Source organism: Homo sapiens, chromosome 4 (genome assembly GCF_000001405.40).
Source record: "Homo sapiens chromosome 4, GRCh38.p14 Primary Assembly".
In the NCBI taxonomy this organism is placed as follows: Eukaryota; Metazoa; Chordata; class Mammalia; order Primates; family Hominidae; genus Homo; species Homo sapiens.
In genome coordinates, this window is record NC_000004.12 from 27,661,801 (window position 1) to 27,687,223 (window position 25,423).

A 25,423-nucleotide genomic window follows, 5' to 3' on the forward strand; every position below is an offset into this window, starting at 1 on the left:
AGTGTAGTTTTGTTACATGGATCTGTTGGATAGTGTTGAAGTCAGAGCTTTTAGTCTAACCATCACCCAAATAAAGTACAATGTACATATTAAGTAATTTTTCATTGTCCATCCCCCTCCCACCCACCCACCATTCCAAGTCTCCAATGTCTTTCATTCCACACTCTATGCCCATGTGTACAGATTATTTAGCTCCCACTTATAACTGAGAATATGCAGGACTTGATTTTCTGTTTCTGAGTTGTTTCACTTGAGATAATGGCCTCCGGTTCCATCCATGTTGCTGCAAATGCATGATTTCATTCTTCTTTACGGTGAAAAGTATTCCATTGTGTATATATGCCACATTTTTCTTATCGGATCATCTGTTAATGGACACAGGTTGATTCCATATCTTTGCTACTGTGAACGGTGCTGCGATACACATACAAGTGCAGGTATCTTTTTTATACCATTGTGTCAATTTCTTCTCCTTTGGGTAGTTAGATACAAGTGAAAGGGGAAATGATCAGTGGAATGTCTGTCCTGGGGATGAAGAAGTAGAAGATGATTGAGAATATAGATAGTGTAGATTATGTTTGGCCACTGTTGGGAGAAAAGCTGAGTGTTGGGAGAGAAACGGAGGCAAGGCTTGGAACATGTGCAGGGTCCAGGGTCTCAAACCCCTCATGGCCTCTGAAATGTGTCTAGACTTGCTGGCTCCTTGCTTCTAGCACTCCCATTATCTCAAGTAGCTATATGTTTCAAAGAAAATGCTAAACGGTCACAGCTGTAGCTCATTCACTTGATACACTGCTTCCTTTCAACCCCCACATCCTCACCACTGTTTCTTTGTTTGAGCACCAATAAATAGCATGTGTGCCCAGAGCTCAGGGCCTTCACAGCCTCCATACTAGCATTGGCCCCCGGTCCCATTTTCTCTCTTAACTTGTCTTTTCTCATTCCTTTGACTCCAACTGACTTTGTAGCCCCACGGCCTGGTATTGGGTCTGATCACCCCAACAGCCACAAAAAGGAAAAAAATACCAATGAAAATAATCTTTTTGTAGAAAAAGGGGAAAAATATATAAGGTAACTATGTTGAAACAGAAAGAAGAAAATAGAAGTCCCATTGAATGTTCTGTAACAGCACAAAAATTAAACTTTACAGATGCTTACCACCTAGCCTCACCAGCAATGCAAACATGCTGAAACATCTTGAGTTTTGTGGAGTAACTTGAGGATGCTAATCTCAGCCTAGTCAATAAGCAGTGTTGAGATTTTGTTTTTAAAGTACAAATTCTTGAACACTCCAAATTTATGGAGTCCACTGATGGCTTTAGTTGAAGGCCCCTGGAATCACTATTTAAATAATTATACAATCATCACACAGCCGATACTTAGCAGAGCAGAAACTCAAAGCTATTATAAATGAATATTTTAATTATTTTATATTTTGCCTCACTGTCTTAGAAACAGTGTTTAGAATTTAACTAGTACTATTGCTAATACGCTATTGATGTGGTTCTATAAACTAAGTTTTCAAACCTCATAATATTAATCCAGGAAAAATTTAAGAATTACTTAGGGGGGGTTACTGGAACCAGAAATACTTTTTAAAAAGTTGATTCTAAAACTGATGGCTTTTGTTTGCATTTTCTTTACATATGAAGGCTGATCTTTGTTCATTGCTCACAAAAAAGTATAATTTATGCACCTCGTAAGGTATTTTGAACAGTGAAAGCCCATTTGATAGTGGAAAGGATACTGTATTCAAACAAATGATTTGTCTTGTTAGAATGATATCTCAATTGCATAAAACTACCCTAATATTTGAACTTAAATCCTCCTAAATTTAGAGACAGTGACCTAATCAATGTCTGTTTCCTTAACCGAGGGTGACAGTGATAGTCCTACATTGATACATTCCTAGTTCTGAAGGTATTTCATGGTATTTCTAGTAGTGCTTAAAATAATCTTGGAAGAAAATAGATTGTGAAAAATCATATATTTCCTGTTGATTTAGTTGAACTAACAAATTTCTCTTTTGAAGAAAATGCCATGGCCAGGCGTGGTGGCTTACACCTGCCTGTAATTTACCCAGCACTTTGGGAGGCCGAGGCGGGTGGAAGACTTCAGGTCAGAGAGTTTGAGACCAGCCTGGCTGGCTAACATGGCAAAACCCCCTCTCTAGTGAAAATACAAAAATTAGCTGGGTATGGTGGCACACGCCTGTAATCCCAGCTGTGCATGCCTGTAATCCCAGCTACTCAAAAGGCTGAGGCAGGAGAATCGCTTGAGGCCTAAGACAGAGGTTGCAGTGAGGCCAGATCGTGCCACTGCACTCCAGCCTGGGTGACAGAGGGAGACTTCATCTCAAAAAATAAAAAATTCAGGATAATATTTAGATACTGGCTCAATTAAAATGTTTTAAAGAAGAGGAATTGAGAAATAGTGTAGGCTGTAAAATTAAAAGTTACAATGTTTGAATTAATTGATTAATGTTTTATCTTTTTAGCTTTTCCCACAAAAGGAAGCGTAATTTCTTAAAACACAGATGTTATATCGGATTAGTTGTGTTTTTCTTTTTTGCTTCGGTGAAAGAACTAAATTAGTACTAAAATTTAAGATTCTTTTTTCATTACCAACATAAAACATTAGATTAAGAAAATATATTTAACTAAAAACACTGGCCTTGCCAATGGAGTTATCACTGTTGAAAATTTTCTTTTTCTGTTTTCTATTCTTTATATCAAAAATTCATCAATTTTTACTATGTATTACTTAACGAGAATATTTTTAAATTGTGAATACTGCTATTTCTGATATTTCATTAAGAGCTTTCATATTGCATCAGAAAGAATATAATTTTGTATTAGAACCTGTTTCTGATGTGTCATTTTATTTCAGAGTGACTGTTCAAATTTAACTCCATGGAATTCAGTTCAGAAAGTAGCTAATTTAAAAAAAAATTCAATTACTACAAGTATAAAAATACGTTTACAAGAATCAGTAAATTCTGATTCTGCTGAGAGTAAAGAAAAAAATAGAAAAAGAAATCCCAATAAGACAAAAAATAAAAATAACAAAGGAATGAGAAAAAAAAAAGAATCAGTAGAGTCAATGATAGGTCATTTTAATTGAAGCAATAAATTATTCAACTTTAGTCTTGTTATCACCGAATGTTTCATAAAAATCATACAATTGCTGTCATTTACATTTTTTAGGCAAATATTTCGTTGCCAAACTTCCTGTTCACGTTATTTAAATATTTTATTTGAATTTGTTGAGTGCTATTTTGGGTTCAGTTTTTCCAAGGAGAATTACTTGAATTATTAGTGAGGTGATCCATGTTGACAATCCACCTTAAAATATATTTAATGTATTATATGATAGCAATCATTTAATTAATATTTAGTTTTTTTTTCATTATATCCTCTGCACGCTCAGCAACTTCGATTGATAATACACAAGACCAGGTTTTAACCCACTGTCAATGTTTTCTTAATATAAGGAGACTAGTAATGAGTGGTAATGTTTTCATTATTGTTTAGTGAAAGATTTTCAATCATTGCATTAGTTTACTAGGGCCATAACAAAATACCACAGATTGGGTGGTTTAAACAGCAGAAATGTATTTTCTCACAGTTTTTCTGGAGGATAGACTTCCAAGATCAAGGTATTGGCAAGTTTGTTTTCTTTTGAGACCTCACTCCCTGGCTTGCAGATGGCCATGTTCTCATATGGGCTTTCCCCTGAGTATGAACCTGTCTGTGTCCTAATCTCTTCTTGTAAGGACAACAGTCATATTGCGTTAGGGCACACCCATCTGGCCTTATTTACCTTAATACCTCTTTATAGGCCCTGTCTCTAAATACAATCACATTCTTAGGTCTTGGGTTTAGATCTTCAACATATGGATTTGCATGTGAGAGGCGAGGAGCAAGTCAGTCCATCACAATCATTCATAAGAGAGTCTAGTCTTCTACTTCTAAAAGATTTACAAAATCAAACAACCTTTATATGCCCAAGTGGTATTGATTTAATGGTTTTGATAGTGCCAGCAGATGATTCTGAAAAGGCTTTTCCAATTTTGCAAAAACAACCTGAGCATATTGTATAAGGCTACTCATTGAATCTTATCTGGTATTAATGGCTGTATTTCTTCCATGACAGTAGAATTAAAGGGCACATATCCAATCTTTAAGGGAACAGAGTGTTGAGACTACGGCTAAATGAGATTTAAGTTGCTAAGTAGAATAACATGAAAAAATAAAGCATTTACAATTTAATTTAAAATTAGCATTGCTTTACGTGTTAATAGGTAATTATTTCTCTTTTAGTGATACCATTTAGATCTGTTCCATTTTTAAAGAAAATTCTATTTCATAAGCCCCTTTGCTCTTTCTCTTCTTTAACAAGTTATAGTTCTAGAAAAGGAGAAATTATTTTGAAAATTGTATATTTTAGTTATTACAGTAATGTTTCAGGTTGATATACATACAAATGTTCTTTTTTTTTAACCCCATGTTTTTGTTTTCTTGGAGAAAACTAGTTTTTTTGAGGGAATTGAGAAAGAACTGCCTAACAATAACACTGAGGTTCTAGTAATAAAAACTGGAGTTGATTTAATAATTTTTAAAATTTGTTTTTAATTAAAGAAGGAGCATAATTTCCACTGTGCTTGATTACAATGCTACTAAAAATTGTGGTCTGAAGTTTATCCTGCCCCTGAAATTTGTGCAGGTCAGCTTAGCAACAAGAGAAGTACAGGAATTGAGAGTGAAGAGGAAACATTGAGTGCCATTATAACACTTGAATAGGTTAATATTGTCTGTCATTTCTAAGGGTAAAAATTTGCCGAACTGTATTTTGAATTCTTTGTTTTAATGTTATTTTGCAGGCAATATTCTTTGGATTTCACAAAATTGCAGATTTACAAAGCAATACAGATTTACAAAGCAATACAAATTTAAAATGAAGCAAAACAAAACAAAAAATATGACCTTCAACACTGAGCATGTGAGCAGCACTGATCTATGGAGTAGGGGCAAGAGCTCTAGATGTGATTCTGGCTGACCTTGGTTGGAGCCTGCCTCTGTCACTTAAAAGCTATTGGGACTTTGGGGAAATTACTTACAATTTCTGAGCTTTGGGCAAATTACTTACAATTGCTCAGCTTTCAAATGATGATCATAACAAAATATTGGCATTTTGTCTCATACAGCACATTGGATCTAAACCAGGGCATTTCTGTCTCAGCACTGTTGATATTTTTGGACAGATATTTCTTTAACACCCGTGTTAACAAGAGCTTGTGCGGGGCATGGTGGGATATTCAGCAGTGTGCCTAGTTTTGATCCACTAGATGTCAGTAAGCATCCCTTGAATCTTGACAATTGAGATGGCTCCAGACATTGCCAAATGTCCTGAAGGGGGTGGGGATAAATTGTTCCTCGTTGAAAACCACTGTTCTAATCTCACCACATAAGGAAAAACCTCACATATGGTTAAGTAAACTTTCATAAAATTTTAAGAAATGTTGACATTGTTAACAAAGCCAACATACTGTATCTTAATAATTCCAACAGTCATTTTTTCTTGTAGCATTAATTTGATGGATTACATGTTCTCTTTCCTTTATAATTTTAAAAACATTTTAATTGCTGTGTTTTTAATATATGTACGATATGAAATGTTGGCTTACATTTATTGGCATGTTATATATATACATATGCATAAATACACATTCATGTATGTATATATGTATACATATACCCACATACATTTGTACACAAATACCAATTCATATACCTAAAAACACCTACCGATATATTATTGTATAACATAGAGTAGTATATTATAATCACATATCTCTATCACTTAAAATATAATCACATATAAAACACATATGTTACATAATATATGATTTGCTGAGGAAACAATAGATTCACTTTTCTAATCACATTTTTACTGTAGAGTTGTAGTATTCAACGCAGTAGCCACTAACCACATGTCTGGTACTTAAAATGTCTCTAGTTTGAATTGAAATGTGTTGTATATATAAAATAGACAGTGGATTTTGAAGACTTAGTAAAAAAAGTAAACTGAGTCAGTTTTATATCAGTTACAAAGTGAAATAACATCTGGGTTACTTGGAGTAAATAAGATATATAATTAATTTTACCTATTCTCTTTTGCCTCTGTTAATGTGACTATCTGAAAATGTAAGATTACATATGTGTTCTGTGTCGGTATCTAACATTATATTTGTATTGGACAGCACTACTGTACAATTTATACTCTGATTAAAATGTTGACCTTTCATATAATCTATTTTGCTGTAATTTTTTTCTCTTTTTTCTTTTGAATTCTTTACAATAACATGTAATAAGTTATGTTAAAGGCATATGTCGCAATACTTTCTCTCAGGGTGAGATTTATTTAAATCAATATGTTCATGATACCTACAAATAATAAAATATTAGTAAATATTCATTTCTATTATCATTATTGTTACTATTGTTGCTGTTATGTGTTTAGAAGTTTAGTTTCTCAGTACTTAAACCAGGGAAGGAAAAAGGAGAAAAACATTTTGAGTTCAAATTCTTCTCGTAGTTCACATTTATAAGCCAGCTGTTAATATTTTACATTTCTAAATAAGATGAGAATTGATGACCTGAATACAGGCTCTTTGAGTACACCGTTCTCCATTAATTTTTATGCCCCTTAATCTCATCTTTTTAGCCCCACAGCGTTCATATGGAGGTACTCAGTACATTTTTATTGAGTGTTTTCTGTTGTCTTCAGAAAAAATATGGAATTAAAATATTGATTATATCTTCTGAAGTTTTGATTAATTTATTTAATCAATTTGTATTAATGGTAATAATTTTATTAAAAATTTATTAGAAAAAATTTTTCAACTCAATAGTGTAAGTAAATATACAATCTTTAAAAAATAAAGATATTCTTTTGTGAATTGAGTAAACTGATCAAAATAATTATAAAAGATATATGTGGACAAAGATATGAGTGGTTTTGTTGCTTTTCTGAACTTTATTCTTACCCTATGATGACAAAGATGTATAGTCCTTTCTTGGTATCCATTGAGGGACTGGCTTCAGGACTCCCATGCGTACTATAATCCATGAAAGCTCAAGTATCTTATGTAACGTAGTATAGTATTTATGTATAACCAAAGCACATCCTCCTGTATACTTTAAATAAACTCTAGATTACTTATAATACCTAATACAATTAAATGCTATGATAATAGCATACTGTTATTTACATAGTAGTTGTACTGTATTTTTTAATATATTACTTTTTATTGTTATATTGTTATATTTTATTTTTTAATATTTTCGATCTGTGGTTGATTGAATCTGTGAACGTAGAACTAATGGATAAGAAGGGGGGACTGTACTAATATAAAAATAAATAAATGTTTTAAATTGACATTTACCATAAGAAAATCAAATTGATGCTAATGTGTGAATATTCATCATATATAATGGATTAACTTATTTCCTATGTATCTAGAATAGTACAAGTATGTACAAGTTATGTAGTAACTTGAAAAAAAATAGTAACTCCATCATTTTCTGTGTTATTGTTGGTTGTTCACACGAGGAACCTGAGATAGTTTCTATAGAAATCTTCTAATTTTTCTATATTTGAATATTTGCCTTTTCTTAAATAATCCAGATTTAAGGAGAGAAACCTCTTAAAACAACCAAAACCAAAGAGAATCTGATCAGTTTGTTCATTAATCAGAAAAAAAGAACACAGCATTTTATTTTTAATTACTGTAAAATCAATCCTGAATGACAGCAACAGAAGTCAACATTCAAGACAGACAAGGTAGTAAACCTCAGGAGACAACAGAAGTATTCAGAAGGGTTGAACTAAGGTTGCAAAGAAAAAATAGAAATTGGGCAGAACAAAGTAAAAATGCTAAAATACAATAAGAGTAGAAAGCAGAGATAGCCCCTGAGGGATATCTAAAGTTCCACATTAACATTTCAGGTAAGTCTGCATGTACATAAAAATACTACAGCTGAAGAGGGCAATTAGTGTAAGGGCAAGCTGAGTTCCGCCTTCTAGGCCCTCTAAAGATATCATATCACTGTAAGTAGTGTTACTGTGAAAGGAAAATGAAACAATAGCTTGTATCCACTTGAGGAGAATTGTACTGTAATTTTAGTACGTGGCAAGTTAGTCTGTTATAGTGTGAATTCCTGTAATGTGAACATTGATCCATACAGAAATAGAATCCAAAGTAGCAGGAGCGGAAGGCATGTATTTAAATATGAATCTGAAGAAGAATGTAAGTAAGATGAAATCATTAAAGGGGAAACTAGAGACTTATAGATAAAATAGTGTAAATAAAAAGGGTTGAAGACAGAATGCAAGGGTGGGAGGTAGGGAATGCAAGTGTAGTCAGCAACTTTGGGTCAGTGACTGGAAAGAGATGGGAGGGATCAAGGACCTTACTTTTTAATAAAAAAAGAATGAAGCTTGTCTGTATTCTGACAGGAGGAGAAAATTGGTAATAGAGGAGAGAAATCATACAACGATAAGAGGGAAGTCTTTAGATTGCAAGTTAAGAAAAAAATGTTGAGCACTATTTGAGGCTTTGACCTTAGCTAATAATAGGGACAATTCATCAATTCAAAAGTTAGAAGGCAGAGTATGTTAGAATACATGGAAGCAGCCTTGTGTTTGCTTAATGGAAAGTCAGGAACAGTGGAGGGTGATGTTGCTTGTTTGAGAAAAGAGTACAAAATGTCTATTTTTCCTCTCTAAGAATGAAAGAGCAAACTACTGAAGGATAAGTAAGTATTGGATGCTGGGGCATTCTGAAGGCCCAGCTGATACTTGGACTTATACATGTGTGTTGAGTTTTGTTGGAATCACGACTTATTTTCATGGGTCCATGCAATTGAATGGGACATTCATGCTTTTACATGATAACTTTGGCTTTGTTTCAAACTTAGATTAAAATATTCTTTATTCCTTTTAAAGAATGGTTTGACTTGATGCAAAATGCAGCCTCTCCATGCCTCATCTGTGTATTGGGGAAACTATTACCTGTCTGATAGGCTCATGTGAGAATTAAATGATGTAGAACTTGTAGCACAGTACCCAGCAATAAGCACCCATCCATTGTAAGTTATTCTTATTGATATTATATCCTTTAGAAAAGTGTCAATAACCAGCGACCTTTTGTGAACCAGGTACTTGGGATTCAATGAAGGTATAGTTGTTAGAGATGTCACTGGTATTAATAAGCAGAAAACTTGCTTATGATACCTCAACTGTACGGGGCTTTATTTTTCTCATCAACATAATCACAGTTAAGGGCTGGATCTGTGCTCAAGAATGTATTCAGAAACCAGTGATCCTTCTTTATTGTCTGCTGCCATCTTAGTGTATGGCCTTTGTCCCTGTGATTGAAAAATGGCTACCATCCCAATAGGCTTTGCATCAGAGTTCCAGGTAAGAAGATGAGGGGACTATAAGTATGAATGACTAATGCGTGGGCCATTGAGAGTGTGTGTCTTTGTGTGTGTGTGTGTGTGTGTGTGTGTGTGTAAGGTAAAGCAATAGCTTTCCTGAAAGAACCGATCTGTTGACTTTCTCTTGTTTCTCATTGGCTTGAACTCCCAAGACACCAGGTAGCCTAGAGAGCTATTTTATCAGGACAGATTGTGTGATGAATTAAATTGGGGTTTTCTTTTTAAAGTAGCATAGAATGCATATTTGTTGGGCAGCTAACTACCCCTACCACAGAGTAGCAAGGAACGTTATTTTCCTTGGGGAAGCCTATTTAGTTGAGGACAGAAACGTATTAACTTTTATTCACAAATTCAAACATGTATAGGGCCAGGCAGAAGATAAAATTGAGTGCATTGGGTTGGATAAAAAATTACAGAGCATGTGTCATGACTAAAGTGGTTAAGAAATGAAGAAGTTCTAAATTAAAGATGGCTTAAAAATTAAGAAGTTCTAAAAAATTGCTGCTGTGAGATCTCTGGACTCAATATGCTTAGATGTTTTGCTTTGTCAATGAAAGTTTAAAGTTTGGTTTTATGTAAACTATTCAATTTTTCTTAAGAATTATAAACTAGGTTATTATATTTTTAATGTGGAAGCCAAACAAAATATGTCTATGGTCTAGATTCAATACAATTCACCTCTGACTTGTATATTTAGGTATCTTGAAATATGACGAAGGCTTCAACAGGAGTGCCTGCATAGTGCTATGGGAGCTTCATGAACTAACATGCTCATAATGAAGGAATTTGTTTTTCTTTAGTGTTGTATGAAAATACTGGATACCATAGAATAATAAATTTTTACAATAAAATGGTCCTAAATAATCATTTTATTCAGTCTGTTATTTTATATATGAAGAAATTGAGGCCTAGAGAAATAAAGTTACTTTCAAGGCTACAGAACAACATTCTAGAATCTTGGTTTCTTGCTTCCTAGTCCAAGGATGCTTCCTAACTCAGCATGCATGTTCATACAAGTCAGGCGGAGGAGAGGATTGAAATGGGCTGAAACTGAAAAGGCGATTGACCTAGTCCACTGGACTTGTGATGCAGAAATAATAGATAATGTTTTAAACACTCCTGTCAATTCACCACAGTGATAATGCCAGGGAAGAAGAATAGTTTATAGAGACTGTGAAAATAACTCAGTTGAAGGCTATTTCACAGCCTTTGAGTCAATAATTAATTCTGCCAACAGGTAGTCCTGTTATCCTTCTCTGAAGGTCGTGCAGTTGCTCATGTTTTATTAAGATTTTGTGAGAAAGAAATGACTCCAAATAAGCTCACATCAAGGACTTTCTTAATATAGTCGAATATTTGCATTGGGTTGTTTCCAAACAATCCTATCTTTCAGTGGATATGTTTCTGAATTTGCATAAAGATGCAATATTGGAGGTTTTTTAGTTCATTTAAAACACCTCAATTTTCTGAGATTTACTATTAGCATAGGATACATTATATTTATTATACTGGGTTTGCTCAGGTTGGGAAGGCTGCAATAGCTTATAGAAATTTTTTGATCAGAATAGATTAAATTAAGAAAGTGATTAAACAGTTTCGGGAATTGACTATTTTAAAATGTTAATTTAGAATAGCTCATTTTTAGAATACTCAGGTTACTATTATTAGTAACTTTGTCTGGTTTAACCACCCTTTAGTCTTTATTAATGAAAAACTTAGCTCCATATCTTCTTTTTAACCTGGTGAGTTTTTATTTTAAACATATTCAGCATGATTCAGAAACAAAAAAGGTGAAGGATATCTGGCTATTAGTTAAATCAAAACTTACCTGTTTAAGCTGAATAGTTCTTCATCTCCTAATTTAGAGCTCAGTTGGAGCCTGTGCTCTCTGTTTTTCAATTTGTCCATTAATCTCTTTTTTCAGCCTTGTTCTTTAAATGATACTAATGCTGATAACTTAAGAGTTCATTTGTTTTTTTTCCCAGTATAAATGCCCCAATTTGTGCTAGGCATAGCTTCACCTAAACCTCTTAGGCAGATGTATATCTAGCTCCTCAGGATTTTTTTTTCTCTCCAGGGAGGAAGATTCCATAAACTCCCTTGGCAACCAGTTCTAGTGTTTAATGGAACATGTCCATTCATCTACATTAATATTTGTAATTCTACAGCACATTTCTTCTGAGTAGCTCTTGGCACTTTAAAATAGTATTTCAATCCCCAAGACATCCATAGAAGTAGGTGGTAAGCTTCATTATACTCCTAAAGGGCACAAACAGCATCTTCATACATGTTATTTTCAGTGCTCAGGACATTGTGAATACTTTAGAAATGTTTAATAATCAGAATAGTAATTTTACAGATGGACGGATTGAGAAAAAGCAGATTTAGCTCCTCTCCCAGTGCCCACAACTGAGGAAACAAGATGGAGAATTTCTGAGTTACACAAGCAAGGGTCTGCAATGTTTTTCCATAAACCTCTCATACCAGGCTTGATGATTTGCTTAGAAATTAGACATTTTTAAAAATTGCAAAAAAAAAAAAAACAGCAAATAGTCCAGGTACTTCCTACACAATTCTGATATTATGCAGTGAGTTATGGGTTTAAACATACTTGAGACCAATAACAGCAAATGAGATAAACTCCATCATTAGAATTTCTCATTTTGGTGTCTCATTTCTCATTTTGGTGAGAAAATCACAGAATCTATTGGTTGCATCTAGCTGCCCATTATAATACGGAAGCATTATCATATTACCTGGTATATGTTGAAAAAGCCCTCTCTAAATAGAGCTGTGAAACTTTCAAACTCCTACCAATTAAAGTATTTCCAACTTGTGTCTCTTCTCATTTGGGTCCTGGTAAGTCTTCACAATACTATTAGATAAATACATTGGAGATATCTCACATGTCCTTGATCATAAAATACAATTTCATTATAGAAGGGAGTTTTTGAGAGCATAGTGGTTTATCTCAAAAACTAAAAGCAGAAATGTCAAGACAAATGTCATGGGTCAGTAGGAAGAAATATTTGGGGGGAGCTAGTTTCCTTAAAGTCACCTGAATTTTGTTGCATAAATATCTACTGAATCTTTGAGTAGGAACGGTCATGGGCAGTTGTATTTATTAATTTGGAAAATTAAGTTTGCATTAAAGATTAAATTTTGCCGCATTACCAAGTTCAGTAGCTTAGAAGCCATTGCCATGCTCAAAAAGTTCAGTCTGTCTAATATAGATGTTTTCTGGGACTTGGATGACTCAAATCATGTGACTGGTAAGCCAGCTTATTGGTTAATTTTCTTACTTGTGCATGTTGTGTTTTCAAAAGCAAGTGTTCTAGGCAGGTTCTGAAAATAGTTCCAAATCTGAGATATTTATGCTTAACCTGATTTTCCTCAGCTGTTTGAAAATTTAAGATTAAATCTGAAAATCCTGTGGATGAGTGAATGTGTTTATATAAAATAAAAAATAGAGGGGGAAAGGGATCTCTGTCTCCTTTATCTAAAGGAGGAGGAGGAGGAGAGAGAAAGAAATATAAGTGTGTGTTTGTGTGTGGGAAAGAGATGGAGAGCGCAACAGAGGGAATATTCGAGTGCTCATTCCAACAGGCTGAGTGTTGAGAGTGTCACAGACAGGGATGTAAATGGATCTACTTTTACCACCTCTCTAGGGAGCATGTGTTATGAAGCTCTCATGTACCTTTCTGAAAGATACTGTTACTGAATGGAAAATATGACTTCACTCAGACCTATAGTCCCATTCATTCTGGGGAGTATCTGAAATTCTAATAGAGAAATAAGGGAAAGAAGAGTTTCATAGAGACATTCGTGGAAGGAAACATTTGTAATCTTTTTTTTTTTTTTTTTTTTTTTGAGATGGATTGTCACTCTGTAGCCCAGGCTGGAGTGCAGTGGCGTGATCTCCGCTCACTGCAAGCTCCGCCTCCCAGATTCACGCCATTCTCCTGCCTCAGCCTCCTGAGTAGCTGGGACTACAGGCGCCCGCCACCACGCCCGGCTTTTTTTCTTTTTTTTTTTTTTTTTTTTTTTTTTTATTGTTAGTAGAGACGGGATTTCACCGTGTTAGCCAGGATGGTCTCGATCTCCTGACCTTGTGATCCGCCCGCCGCGGACTCCCAGAGTGCTGGGATTGCAGGCGAGAGCCACCGCGCCTGGCCACATTTGTAATCTTTATCCAGCAGGCAGCAGTGTGAAGTGTCTTGCTCTCGGAAGAGTTTGCTTTAGTGCCTGGTGCATTGGAAGTCTTCAGATCATGTAGACACTGTAACATGTCATGCTAAAGAAAGATCGAAGAAAATATAAATGCATTGAATAATTTAGAAAAAAACAGAATTATTTGTAAAGTATAAAATTATAAATATGGACATGTCTCACATTTAAGGTTGATACTAGCATGAATATATTTGGAAGTAGTAATGTAAGTGAAAAAACAAACGAGCATTTATTATCATGCCGTTGATCAACAGGAGTAAGCCTGACGTGTAAACAGAGTGTCATCCAAACGTTTTCTATCACTTGATTCCAGGGGGAAGAAACCAAATTTTGTGGCATATCAAAATTCATGTTGTAAAAATTCTTCATTTGCTTTCCAACCTACACCTGGGTGGGTGGGACACTGAATATTCATTCTACATAAAAGATCATGCATAATAACCAAATAGAAGCCTAGGCAACTCTAGACTTCAGAAATAAATACTATATTCTATTTTCCTAATTATATTTCTCTTTAAAAAAACCTGAACCACCTACACATATCAGTGACATGGTACTAGTTCCTATAAATTGAAATGGTAGAAGTAAAACTTGCATGAGTATTATTCAAATAACAGGATGCAGGTGTAAATGGAAGCATTCCATCTAATTGACAATCTTGGTGCTGTGAGGAGAAAGGTGAGCTGTCAGCTATGACACTAATGAACTATTTGGCTGAGTAAATAGATTTTCTGTGTGCAATGCAAAGCATGTTGCTTTTAAGCATATATTCATAATTAGATGGTACTAATAAAATTGGCCAATTCTATATATAATGCCTGAGGTACATAAAATAAATAATGAACTTAAGGAAATAAGTTTCAAGTGTCAGGCATTGACTGTCATCACAAATCCCATTTCTATTACTTTCATGCTTATGACCTTGGCTAGGTAATTTAACACAAATAAACGTAAGTTTATTATCTAAATTATGGAACTAAATTTTTTTTTACCTTATAGGGTAGTTTAAGAATTTTTCAGCTAGTATTCACAAGTTGTATAGTCTTGTGTCTATAGCATAGTAAATAGTCTATAAATGGTAGTTATTTATTAATAAAACTCAAAAAAGTTTAAAATGCAGTACTGTAAAATTTCTAACCTGTAAATACTGTGCACTAATAGTAAGTTTTGGTAAGATGACACCTCTGCAGTGACAAGTAAGAGTTTGTATATTTGTAATTGATATTATACAATACTATGTATGACTATTATTCAGGCATTGAGGACAGGATCCCATGGTTCCAAACTTTCCATTAAATAACCCACCCTAATTGATATCTGGAGAATCTAGGGCAGGTGCAAAGAATGTCTTATTAAGTATTATGATAATAATAAAATGAATTATGACTTACATGACTATTGTTTCATAGTTTTGTATATAAAGATAAGTACTCTAATCTTACCTTTCTTCTATATGTATGGATTTAGAGCATTTTATGTAGGCTTTTATTGCTATAAACTTCCCTCTTAGAACTACTTTTGCTGTATCCCATATGTTTTGGAATATAGCGTTTCTATTTTCATTTGTCTTGAGAAATTTTTACATTTTCTTCTCGATTTCTTCATTGACTCATTCATTGGTCAGAAGCATGTTATTTAATTTCCATGAATGTATACACTTTCTTGTTTTGATTGATTTCTAGCTTTATTTCACTGTGGTTAGAAAAGATACTTGACATTATTTTGATTTTTAAAAATGTAATAAGACTTGTTTTGTGACCTAACCTATGATCCATCCTGGAGGATGTTTCATGTACTGTTGAGAAAAATGTGTATTCTGCAGTTGTTGGATGGAATGGTCCACAAATGTCTATTAGGTCCATTTGGTCTAGGCTGAACTCCAATATTTCTTTTTTGATTTTCTGTCTGGAGGATCTGCCCATTGCTGAAACTGGAGTGTTAAAGTCCCTTACTATTCTTGTATTGTAGTCAATTCTTTCCTTTTAGGTCTAATAATATTTGTTTTATATATTTAGAGGCTCTGGTGATGGGTGCATATATATATACAATTATATCCTCTTACTGTGTTGACCCCTTTATTATTATAGAATGGTCTTCTTTGTCTTCTTTTTAACCCATTCTTGACTTTAAGTCTATTTTATTTGATATAAGTGTAGTTACTTCTGCTCTCTTTTTATTCCCATTTGCATGGTATATGTCCAGAATACTTTAAAGTCATGATTTTGAAGATAGTGATTGATTTAACAAAGGAGGCAAATGTAACAGCAAGAATCAGAAACCTTTTGATATATATTGTTTGTAAAGAACCTCTTAAAATTATTAAATGAATTGATACAGTGATTTTTAAATGTATTGGCTAATTTATTAACTAATTTGGTAATTCCACAAAAATATACTGGATGACTTCTTTGTTCAAAGTATTGTGATCCAGATAAATGAGAAAGTTGATAGAATATAAACAAAAATGTAAAGGAAATCACAGAGTTGCCATAGAAATGTATAGAGAAGAGGCATTCACTTCTCTTGTTGAAAGTGTTCTTCTGGTACAGTACAAATGTTAATTTGGAGCTACTGTATCATGTTATTAAAAGTTCTAGTGTGATAATACAATCTCTCCTTTCTGCCTCAAGTGGCTAAGTGTATTTGTTCTAAGATTTGTGTTTGTTTAATTTTAAAATTTCATTCGCTATGCTAGTCACTCTGGAATGCTTGATTTCCCAATCAGCCTAGTCCCTAGACCTCCCTGACCCCAGCTCTGCCATTTAAGGTGCAAGTTTCTCCCTCTTTCTTTCCCATAACTCATGGTATTCCCCTAATGTAGAATTTCTAGGTATGGCTATTTTTCTAGAGGATCAACTTCTTGCAAGTTACAGCCATGTCTTATTCATGGCTGCATTCACTGGGTCTGCCACAGTGGGAAATAACTCACATTCCATGGTTTTAGAATACATGCATTAAACTATTTTCAGTAAATCTTGCTTCTAAATTCTTTTTTTCCACATTTTTTTCTAATATCTCATTATGTGTATTGGATGAATAAATGGTTGGCCGAAAGAACTAGTGAATAAATTTTGCACCTCCATACATAAAATGGAGTTTGCTAGAAGTCATTTCAGAACTCCAAAACAAACAATAACAGACATAAAAACCTAAATATACAAAAGCATCATGTATGTGTAAGTGGAAGCAGTTTGTCAACTGACTTTTAAGGGTGTCAGGAGTTGGCTATTGGGTCTTTGCTTTGTGTTTCCATATTCATTGAATTTTCCGGTGCCATTTTTCCTGTCCATCCCCACTGCCCAACTGCTTTTCGTGTGGTAATTGTTGTTTTTGGCGTGTATGTGTTTCCTGGGTGCATGGCTCCTGAGTTATTCTGAATATCAAGATTGGGTTGGGAAAGCCAGCCTTTATCCATTGTCTTCCAATTAATCCCACTGTTTCTGAGCTCAGGATTTACTACCAATTTGTATTGTACATGGCCTTTCAGAACCTCACAACTTCCCAGTGCCCAGGGTTCTGCAAAGCTCAAGAGCTTCATTCTTTGTTTTAGGTCTTTCTGACCTTTAACTTTTATTAACTGGCTGTATTAGCGATCATTGTTCCACCCTCTCCTTCTGTCTTTAATAAATTTCAATTTCTTAAAATCTTCTGGGCATGCATCATCTCACAATTTTTGTTCCCTTTGCTGTGGTCATTTTATGCTTTTTATTATTTGTGGTATTAGTTTATTATCATTTTAATGGATCCTGGAAGTGAGACAAGGCAAATGTTTATTTTGCTCCATCTTGCATATAATTCTAGAATCTCTACCCCTTCCCAATACTGTTTAAACATTTGTTTAAATTTTGGAAAGTGTTGAGGGATTATGGAAAAATAAAATAAAATAGATTGAACATAAAATAAGGAATTTGTTACATACTCTGTTATAACTAGAACTTTTAGGAACTTTTCTCAAACATTTTCTGCTGCTGATACCTAGATATCTAGCGTCATTATATATAATAAAGATGAAGTTAATTTGTATGCACAGAGTACAAGTGAAATTATTTGAGGGTTATTTTTTCTATTTTCTATATTGACTAAATTGTTTCCAAATCCCTATGTTCTTTTTCATGTTTCAGTTTTCTGTTATAATTTTCCCAACCACAGAAGTTCTTGGAAGACATATTAAAGGTAGGAAATGTGGATAGTGAAATTAATTCTATATCCTTGGAAATAGCACTATGCCAACATTATTTGTTCTCTGAATTTCAGATGACTTGAACCATTTTCAGGAGGCTCAAATAGCTGATCTCAGTCAAGATTAGGAGCCAACCTGTGGTTGAAGAGTAAAGTTTTTATTTTTATTCCACAGGGATTGGTGTTGGCTAACAAAATGTTTGCTTGTTTGTTTTTAATTTAACATCAAAAACACAATCTACTTTACCGGGAAAGAAACCAATTTCCATTTTATGTAGCTAAAAATTACATTCTGTAGTGAGTCAGATGTAGAAATATACATTATCTATGCCTTAGTTCAGATTTATTCCAGTGATGTTTGTATGTCACTTTTCATATGATGTCCTAGGAAACTGATGGCTGGTTTTATTTTTAAGCTGGCTATGGGCACAAGGAAGGCTATATTTAGCTCTGGCCCTGCAGTTTATATGTGATGCTCTGACTCTGATGGAAGAGACAAAATATGTCTACTATTTGTCCATTTATCTTGTCTTCTTCAAAATCTCCCTTTCCTTTTGAAACTATGGCTTTTGAAAGAGCTTTCATGTCTCGTCACAATTGCAAAGCCAGTATAATTCTCTGAGCATTGTGCGTTTGCTCATACTGTCCAATCCAATGGGACACCAATTTATCCTGGCTCCAATCCTCACCTATAAAAGCTTTCTTATCTTTCAATATTTAGTAAAAACGTTACTGGCTTCATAAAACATCTTCTAGTACCCACAACTGGATATAACCACTTATTGACAACTGCCATGGGAATTTTTGGTAGATCTTATAATTTTATATTTTAACTAATTAGAAAGTTATCTGATATATCCCACATGAGAAGTCCTTTAAATATCAAAACATATCTCATTCCTTATTTGATTGTATTTTAACACCTATCTCATTATTCTTTATATATGTATGTATCTATTATTTGTATACTATAGAATAGTAGTAATATTAACAATGCAAAGAACAAGTATACTAGCAAACAAATATTGAATGATTTCCCTGTGTAGACATATGCTAAGGGCTTGATACATGATATCTTGTGGGATCGTCATAACGCTATGTGTTAGGCACTAATGTAATCTTCATTTGCATATGAGAAAACTGGGACCTAGAGAGATTATATAAGTTGCCAAGAGTTCTAGAACTACTACACTCTAAAGGTATTTTAGCACTCAGATCTACCTTAATTCAATTGAGTATTTGCCCCTCTGTAAGTATACAGACAAATATAGGTCTTACACATGGTGGATGGTTAACAAAAATCATTTACATGAAACTATTAGTGAATTAATGACTCCTTATAGATATTTTAAAATCAACTCTATTAAATTTATTTTTCTGGAGCACCACACAAGCTAGATTTTACCTAGCTTTGTCATATTTGTTCTTACAGTGAGTGACCCATGGTGTATAATAGGATCACAAAAAGAGTCATTATTTGATACCCTAGGATGGCCTTTCTGGCTTTTATTTCACATATTCAAGTGTTAAGATCCACCTATTGTGCTTTAAAATACAGCCTGCTTTGGAGAGCACTCCTATAAGCAGAGTTTGGGGGAGGTATACCTTTGCCTGAAGAAACAGACATTGTATTCATTAGGATATAGAATTGCCACCAGAAACGGAGATCCAAAATAAACTTCACTTAACCAAGGTAGAAGTTTGTTTTATATTCATATATAAAAGTTGAGCTAGCGTGACAGTTCTGCTCCAGGGAATCATCAGAGGCACAGATTCCTTCTATAATTTTGCTGTGCCATTTCTAAGGAGCTGCATCTATCTGCAGAACTCAACATAGCTTACTGTGATTTATAAGGTGAGGGAGCAGAGCTACTTTCCCTTTAGGGCACATTGTGGAATGTTCACATGCCTCTTTCCTTAAACCCTATTGCTCTGAATTTAGTCATATAGCCACACTTTGGTACGGTGATGCTAAGAAATGTAGTCTTTATGTTAGGTGGCCATATGATCAGCTAAACTTTCTAATAGTATAAAAAAGAAGAGAGGGCATATACAAATTGGGAGATAAACAGTAGTTTCTCTCATAGACCTGATAAACATATTATGTTTGCTTTTAGTTGCGGAAGAAACTTGCTAAAATATTCTGCCACTTATTTTGCCATTAATATATAGAGATAGTGACAAACTTAAGATGAAATGCAACATAGAACATGAAGTCAATTGGAAATACATATTATTTATTCCTAAGTGCATCTTAGACATCTGTAAGTTGGATTTGTAATTGATGTCTGATGTTAGATCACAAAGAAATGAAGGTATGTTATCTAAGAAATTTTTTTTGCCAGTGGTCCTATCTCCAACACTCCTTCCTTGAATGGACATTAAAATACCTATGCATAAACCTTCACCATATTAATAGAAATTAAAAATGCAAAAATCATGCAGAAGCACATGGAGTATTTTGTTCACAGGTTGAAATTTTGTCAGCTGTGTATGAATAGAATGACTTTGACCTATAAAATAAAAGATTTTGTTAAAGCTACTAGACTCTCTTTCCTCTGTTTCAGTGAAAAGGATCAGATGAGCAGCCTCCTTTTGTCTAGGAGAAAAGAAGAAAAAGTGAAAATTGCACTGTGATCTGTGGAATGGAAGTTTGATGGGAAAGTACAAGAGAGTTTAAAAGCAAGAAGGAAAAGTGAATTTATGAAACAGCTGGGAATGGTAGCAAAGAGAGTGAAGGGTTAAGTGGAATTTCTAGAGTTGTGATTTAACCAACAGTAAATGGCTAATATGATGAAATTAGGAATGTTTTCTACTCATAATGAGTTGCCTCTTAAACCTGCTTGTTATGAAAGTTTATTTCTGTATGCACTGACTCTTGTTTCTAAATGATTTTATTTAAATAATCTACATCACAAAACCTTTGGCAATTTATTTCTTCTGTCTATACATTTAGTAAATTCATAATTGATATGCCAGCATTGGGCTTTTTCAATGCACTGCCATGGACATATTCGGTTAATGTGTGATGCCAGAAGTGAGATAACAATATTTGTTCGCCCCTGTCTTTTTTAAATCTCTGCATTAAGTTTAAAAATTAAAATATGGATATATCTTATCAGAAAAAATTAAACTTGGACTCATACATCATATTCTTAATGACAATTTTGAAAATTTTCTTTTGGAACTTTTATTTTCATTTTCTGCCTAACTCATTTTTTTTTCTGTGAGTCTGGCTACTTGGCAACAGCATCCTTTCTTCCTAAATCTTAGTAAATACTTTTTAAAGATGACATGATTATGAAAACTGTTATCTGGAAAATAAATGGACTAAGTTTGACAGGGCGGACTAGTTACAAATAAATACTTGGTCTGTTCTAGTTATGCACCATCACAGAATCAGAGGGTCAGAGCCAGAAGTCCTTAAAGGTTTGGTGATCAAATTCTCCCACAATGCACAGATAACGAGAGAGAACATCATGTTTGCTTTCATTGTTATTTCCATTTTTTTATGCCAACATCAGAGCATACAAAGCATAAAGAACAATCCAGAGATAGCAGAGGGGTTTCTTTCTAAAAGAGCTTCTCATTCTTTCAGGTGAATTCTAGCACTGGGTAAAGAGTTTACACAATTTATGTAAACTTCCCATAAAAGAAACTGAATGTTTTATTCTTTTACTTAATTTCTTTTGCCTCACGCATAACACATTTGTCTACAACTCTAGTCGTATGAACAATAAAGATATAATAAAGTATCTTAACTTATTGTTCTCCCTGGACTACACATTTTGGGAAAGGTTAATTTTCCTAAAGGAAATTAACATGTTGAATAGACCCCCTACCACCAGACACCTCTATCTGAATGTCAAGTAGAAATCTCAAATTCGAAATGTCTAACATAGAACTCCTGATCTCCTCTCCAAATCAATTGTTTAGGACAAAAGTCAAGAAGTTGTCTTTAAGTCTTCTCTTTCTCTGTTACCTCATACCCAATTCATGGGCAATGCATATTAACTCTACCTTCCAAATTTATCCCAAATCCTGCCACTTCTTACTACCTCTGTTATTAGTGGACTTGGGGAAGGCACAGTTATCTCTTATATGAATCTCCACAAAAGCTTCCTAACTGGCTTTCCTCATTCCACACTTCCTTTATGCTCTTTTCTTCTCTTAGAGGTCAAGATAATCTTTTCAAAAAGTAAATCCTAGCCAGGCACATTGGTGTGTGCCCGTAGTTCCAGTTATCTGGGAGTTTGAGGCAAGAGGATCACTTGAGCCCAGTAGTTCAAGGCCAGCCTGGACAACGTAGTGAGACCCACATCTGAAAAAAAAAAACAAAACCAAAAGAAAACAAGCAAAACAAAACAAAACAAAAAAACAGGAAATCCTTCCTCATGATCCCTAGCTCTAAGAGGAGGAATTTAGGCATACTTAAGAAAAAAATGGATGCTGGGGGAAAATTGGAGGCAGTGGACAAGAAATAGTAAATATTACTACAGAGTGGAGGGAATAAAGCTAATACCCCTTATGAGTTTAATGTCTTTCTGAAGAGTTTAGTTGTGCTTAATTTATTTTGGGGGATAGTGTAGAAAGCCTGAGAGTGTTTGATAACCTGGAGGACTTCCATAAAGAAAGTTTATTTAAAAATAGCAAGAGAGAAAAAAATGCATCGTTTTGTTGTTGTTGTTGTTTCATTATTGTTTTTAAACAAAGACTTGCTTTGAGTTAAAAATCAGATTATACAGTGTTTAGATCAGGGGGTGTGACAGAACAAGCTGCCAAGTATTTTTGACCTGGGGTAGTTTTAAGTTATTTGTAACAAAAGTAGCTCAAAGAAGGAGGAGAGCTCACCCTTGAAGAGCAAAACACTTTAAAATAAGTTCAAACAAATTTTTGTTTGTTAGTAAGAGGCAGGTGCTGACAGGGAGCGGTGCAAGCACAGGATACAAGCGCTGAGGAAGGCTGCCATCCTTCTCTGATGTCAATAGATGGCGGTGGTGCACCAGAAGAGAGTCGGGAGGTTTCGCCTGAGGCCTGCAGGAGCTAGTTTATGCAGGTACATGCTGAAAAAGACACTATTTTGTCTGAGGAACTGTAAATTGTATTCATGATTCACATATCATTATTAATTCATTTTGTATTCATTATCATACGGCAGATTCATTTGACATTTATGCAGATGTCAGAGTGTAGGCACTTCCAGGAGCGATCTGTGCAGGTTCAGACCAGGCTGTGTGCAGGCTTTCATGGAAGCATGAGCGGAAAGAAGAAATGCTTTTTTAACCACAACAATATTAGACTGGAAATTGGGCCAGGGATTGCCCAACTAAAGGCTTTCAGTGCCTAGTTCTGTGACTACTGCGTGTGCTCACTACTTCCCCCTGCATATTTTTTTGGCAGATTAAGTCTGGCAGATGAGAATCTCCCAGTTTAGAGAGCTCTGAGCAAGATAAAAATTTAATAATCTTATTGTTGACCCTGCCACTTAGGGTAGAACAGATAATCCTTTAATAATGCACTTCAAAAGTCTGGTTTGCATAGTCAGAGACCAGAGGCAGCCTGGTATAGTGGAAAGAAAGCCTTTGAGACAGGAAAACGATGGATTCTGGTGTTGGCTCTGCCACTAACTAGCTCTGAGACTTTGGGAAAATCAATTAACCTTCCCAGGTCTCAGCCTCTTAATCCATAAAATGAAGGGACTACATGATATCATCCCAAAAGTCTCCTTTAGTGCTATAAATAACAAGATTTTTTGACAGAAAAAAAACACATAAAAGATTGAGTTTTGAAACGCTAACATTTCTTTGTGACCTACTTCAAATCAGATGAGTTGTAAAGCTTGCTATGAATTGTAAAGCATATATCATCTGTGAGTAAATGCACCTCAAGCAGTTACAAGTGTGATTTATCGCTGGTGGCTGGTACGGTATCACATGTAACTGACAGTACTTGGTCTTGAAACCTTTCTTAAATTTCAGAGATGACAGAATAGAAATTTTGAGAAGGAGGTCTAACTCCAGGACTCTTCTCACAAATGAACACAATTTGACAAATTTTATGTCGTGCTGTGGCATGCACTTTACAAATGTGTGAAGAGATTATCTATCTCGCAACATCCCCAAACTCTAAACTAGATTTTCCGCAGTACTCAAGTAGCTCTAGCAATAAAGCAGATGCTCAGAGACACATATTAACTCTTCAAAGACAGCAGGCTCTTCCCTCCTCTGAAATATGAAAATTTAGTTCTCTGAAATGGTTTATATACTCTCATGTGTTCCCTGATTGACACAGGAGATAGTGAACCAATTGGCCAGTTTGCAAATAAAGTACACTAATATTGAGCAGTTAAATAGATTATGTGATTAAAGGTAACCAGGGAAAACCATATTTGGCTGTTTTTAAAAAGAGATGGCCAATAAACATGATAGGGATGTATACTTTGAATTTCAAAACCTTGGACAGGGCTTCAAAGAAGAGATTTTTATAAAAGAGCAACTGTCAGAAAAGGGAAGGATGTTTTGTCATAGATCTCATACTTCCATCTCTTTGGAAGTGAATGGATGGATGAGGCATGAAAAGAACAATCCCTCAGGCATCAGTGTTGATACTCATTGTTTAATCTGATTATCCAAGATCAGATGGAGGAAGTGTCTGTGTTCTCGCATGTCTGCAGGTGATGTTAAGCTCTTCAATGCTATTCAATACTGGATGATTGGAAAAGTCGAATGAGAATTTCATTAGATTAAAAGGATTGAAAAATAAGAAGGAACTTTATTTGACATACTCTAAGCAGCCACTACATGCCCAGAACTCTGCTAGTGTAAGAAATACCAAAATGCTAAAAAAAAAAAAAACCAAACCCAAACACAACAAAACAAACAAACAAAAAACCCCAGCTAAGAGAAGATTGACATACCATCAAAAACTCACTATTGCCACTATGAAAAGTGCTATCCTAAGAGATGTTGGGAGCAAGGAGAGAGGGAGGGCATCTAGAAGGATTGCTGAGGACTTCTAGAATAAAACAAGGCTGGAGAGGTAAGTGGCTGAAGGATGGGTAGAAGTAATCTAAATTAAATCGCAGGAGAAGCAGTGTATGGAAAGGCTTGAGAAGCTAAAAGTACATAGTATCTATTGAACATTCATTACCATAGTGTAACAGAGAAAAGAAAAATAATACCTGAGAGTGAGTTGTAGGACATGTGGTTAAAGAGGGAGACAAGGACCAGTTCGGAGGGATTGAATGTGAGAACGGTAGATGCTTTTATGTGAGATCTATCTAGATCCAATTTTTAAAAATAATTTCAACTTGTATTTTGCATTCAGAAGGTATATGTGCAGATTTGTTACATGACTATATTGTGTAATGCTGAGGTTTGGGGTACGAGTGATGCCATCGCCCAGGTAATGAGCATACTAACCAATAATTAATTAACCCTTCCTCCTCCCATCCTCTAGTAGTCCTCTGTGTCTATCATTGCCATCTTCATGTCCATAAGTACCCAGCATTT

At 34.6% G+C, this 25,423-nt stretch overlaps 1 long non-coding RNA gene across 2 annotated transcripts in view, besides 1 other annotated feature; it reads left to right on the forward strand.

Annotated features, from left to right (window-relative positions):
* Nucleotides 543-1,079: an enhancer, noted in NCBI's record as "OCT4-NANOG hESC enhancer chr4:27663965-27664501 (GRCh37/hg19 assembly coordinates)". NCBI's record gives its function as "activates a minimal SCP1, AML or CMV promoter by ChIP-STARR-seq in naive and primed H9 embryonic stem cells {active_cell/tissue: H9 hESC(naive and primed)}" and the evidence as "EXISTENCE:reporter gene assay evidence [ECO:0000049][PMID:30033119]".
* Nucleotides 8,167-25,423, forward strand: part of LOC105374548 (uncharacterized) — a 49,283-nt gene continuing 32,026 nt past the window's right edge. For both annotated transcript variants that reach the window (XR_925517.2, XR_925518.2), the window contains exon 1: nucleotides 8,167-8,311. This is a non-coding gene — a long non-coding RNA (uncharacterized LOC105374548). The remainder of the gene's footprint in view (nucleotides 8,312-25,423) is intronic.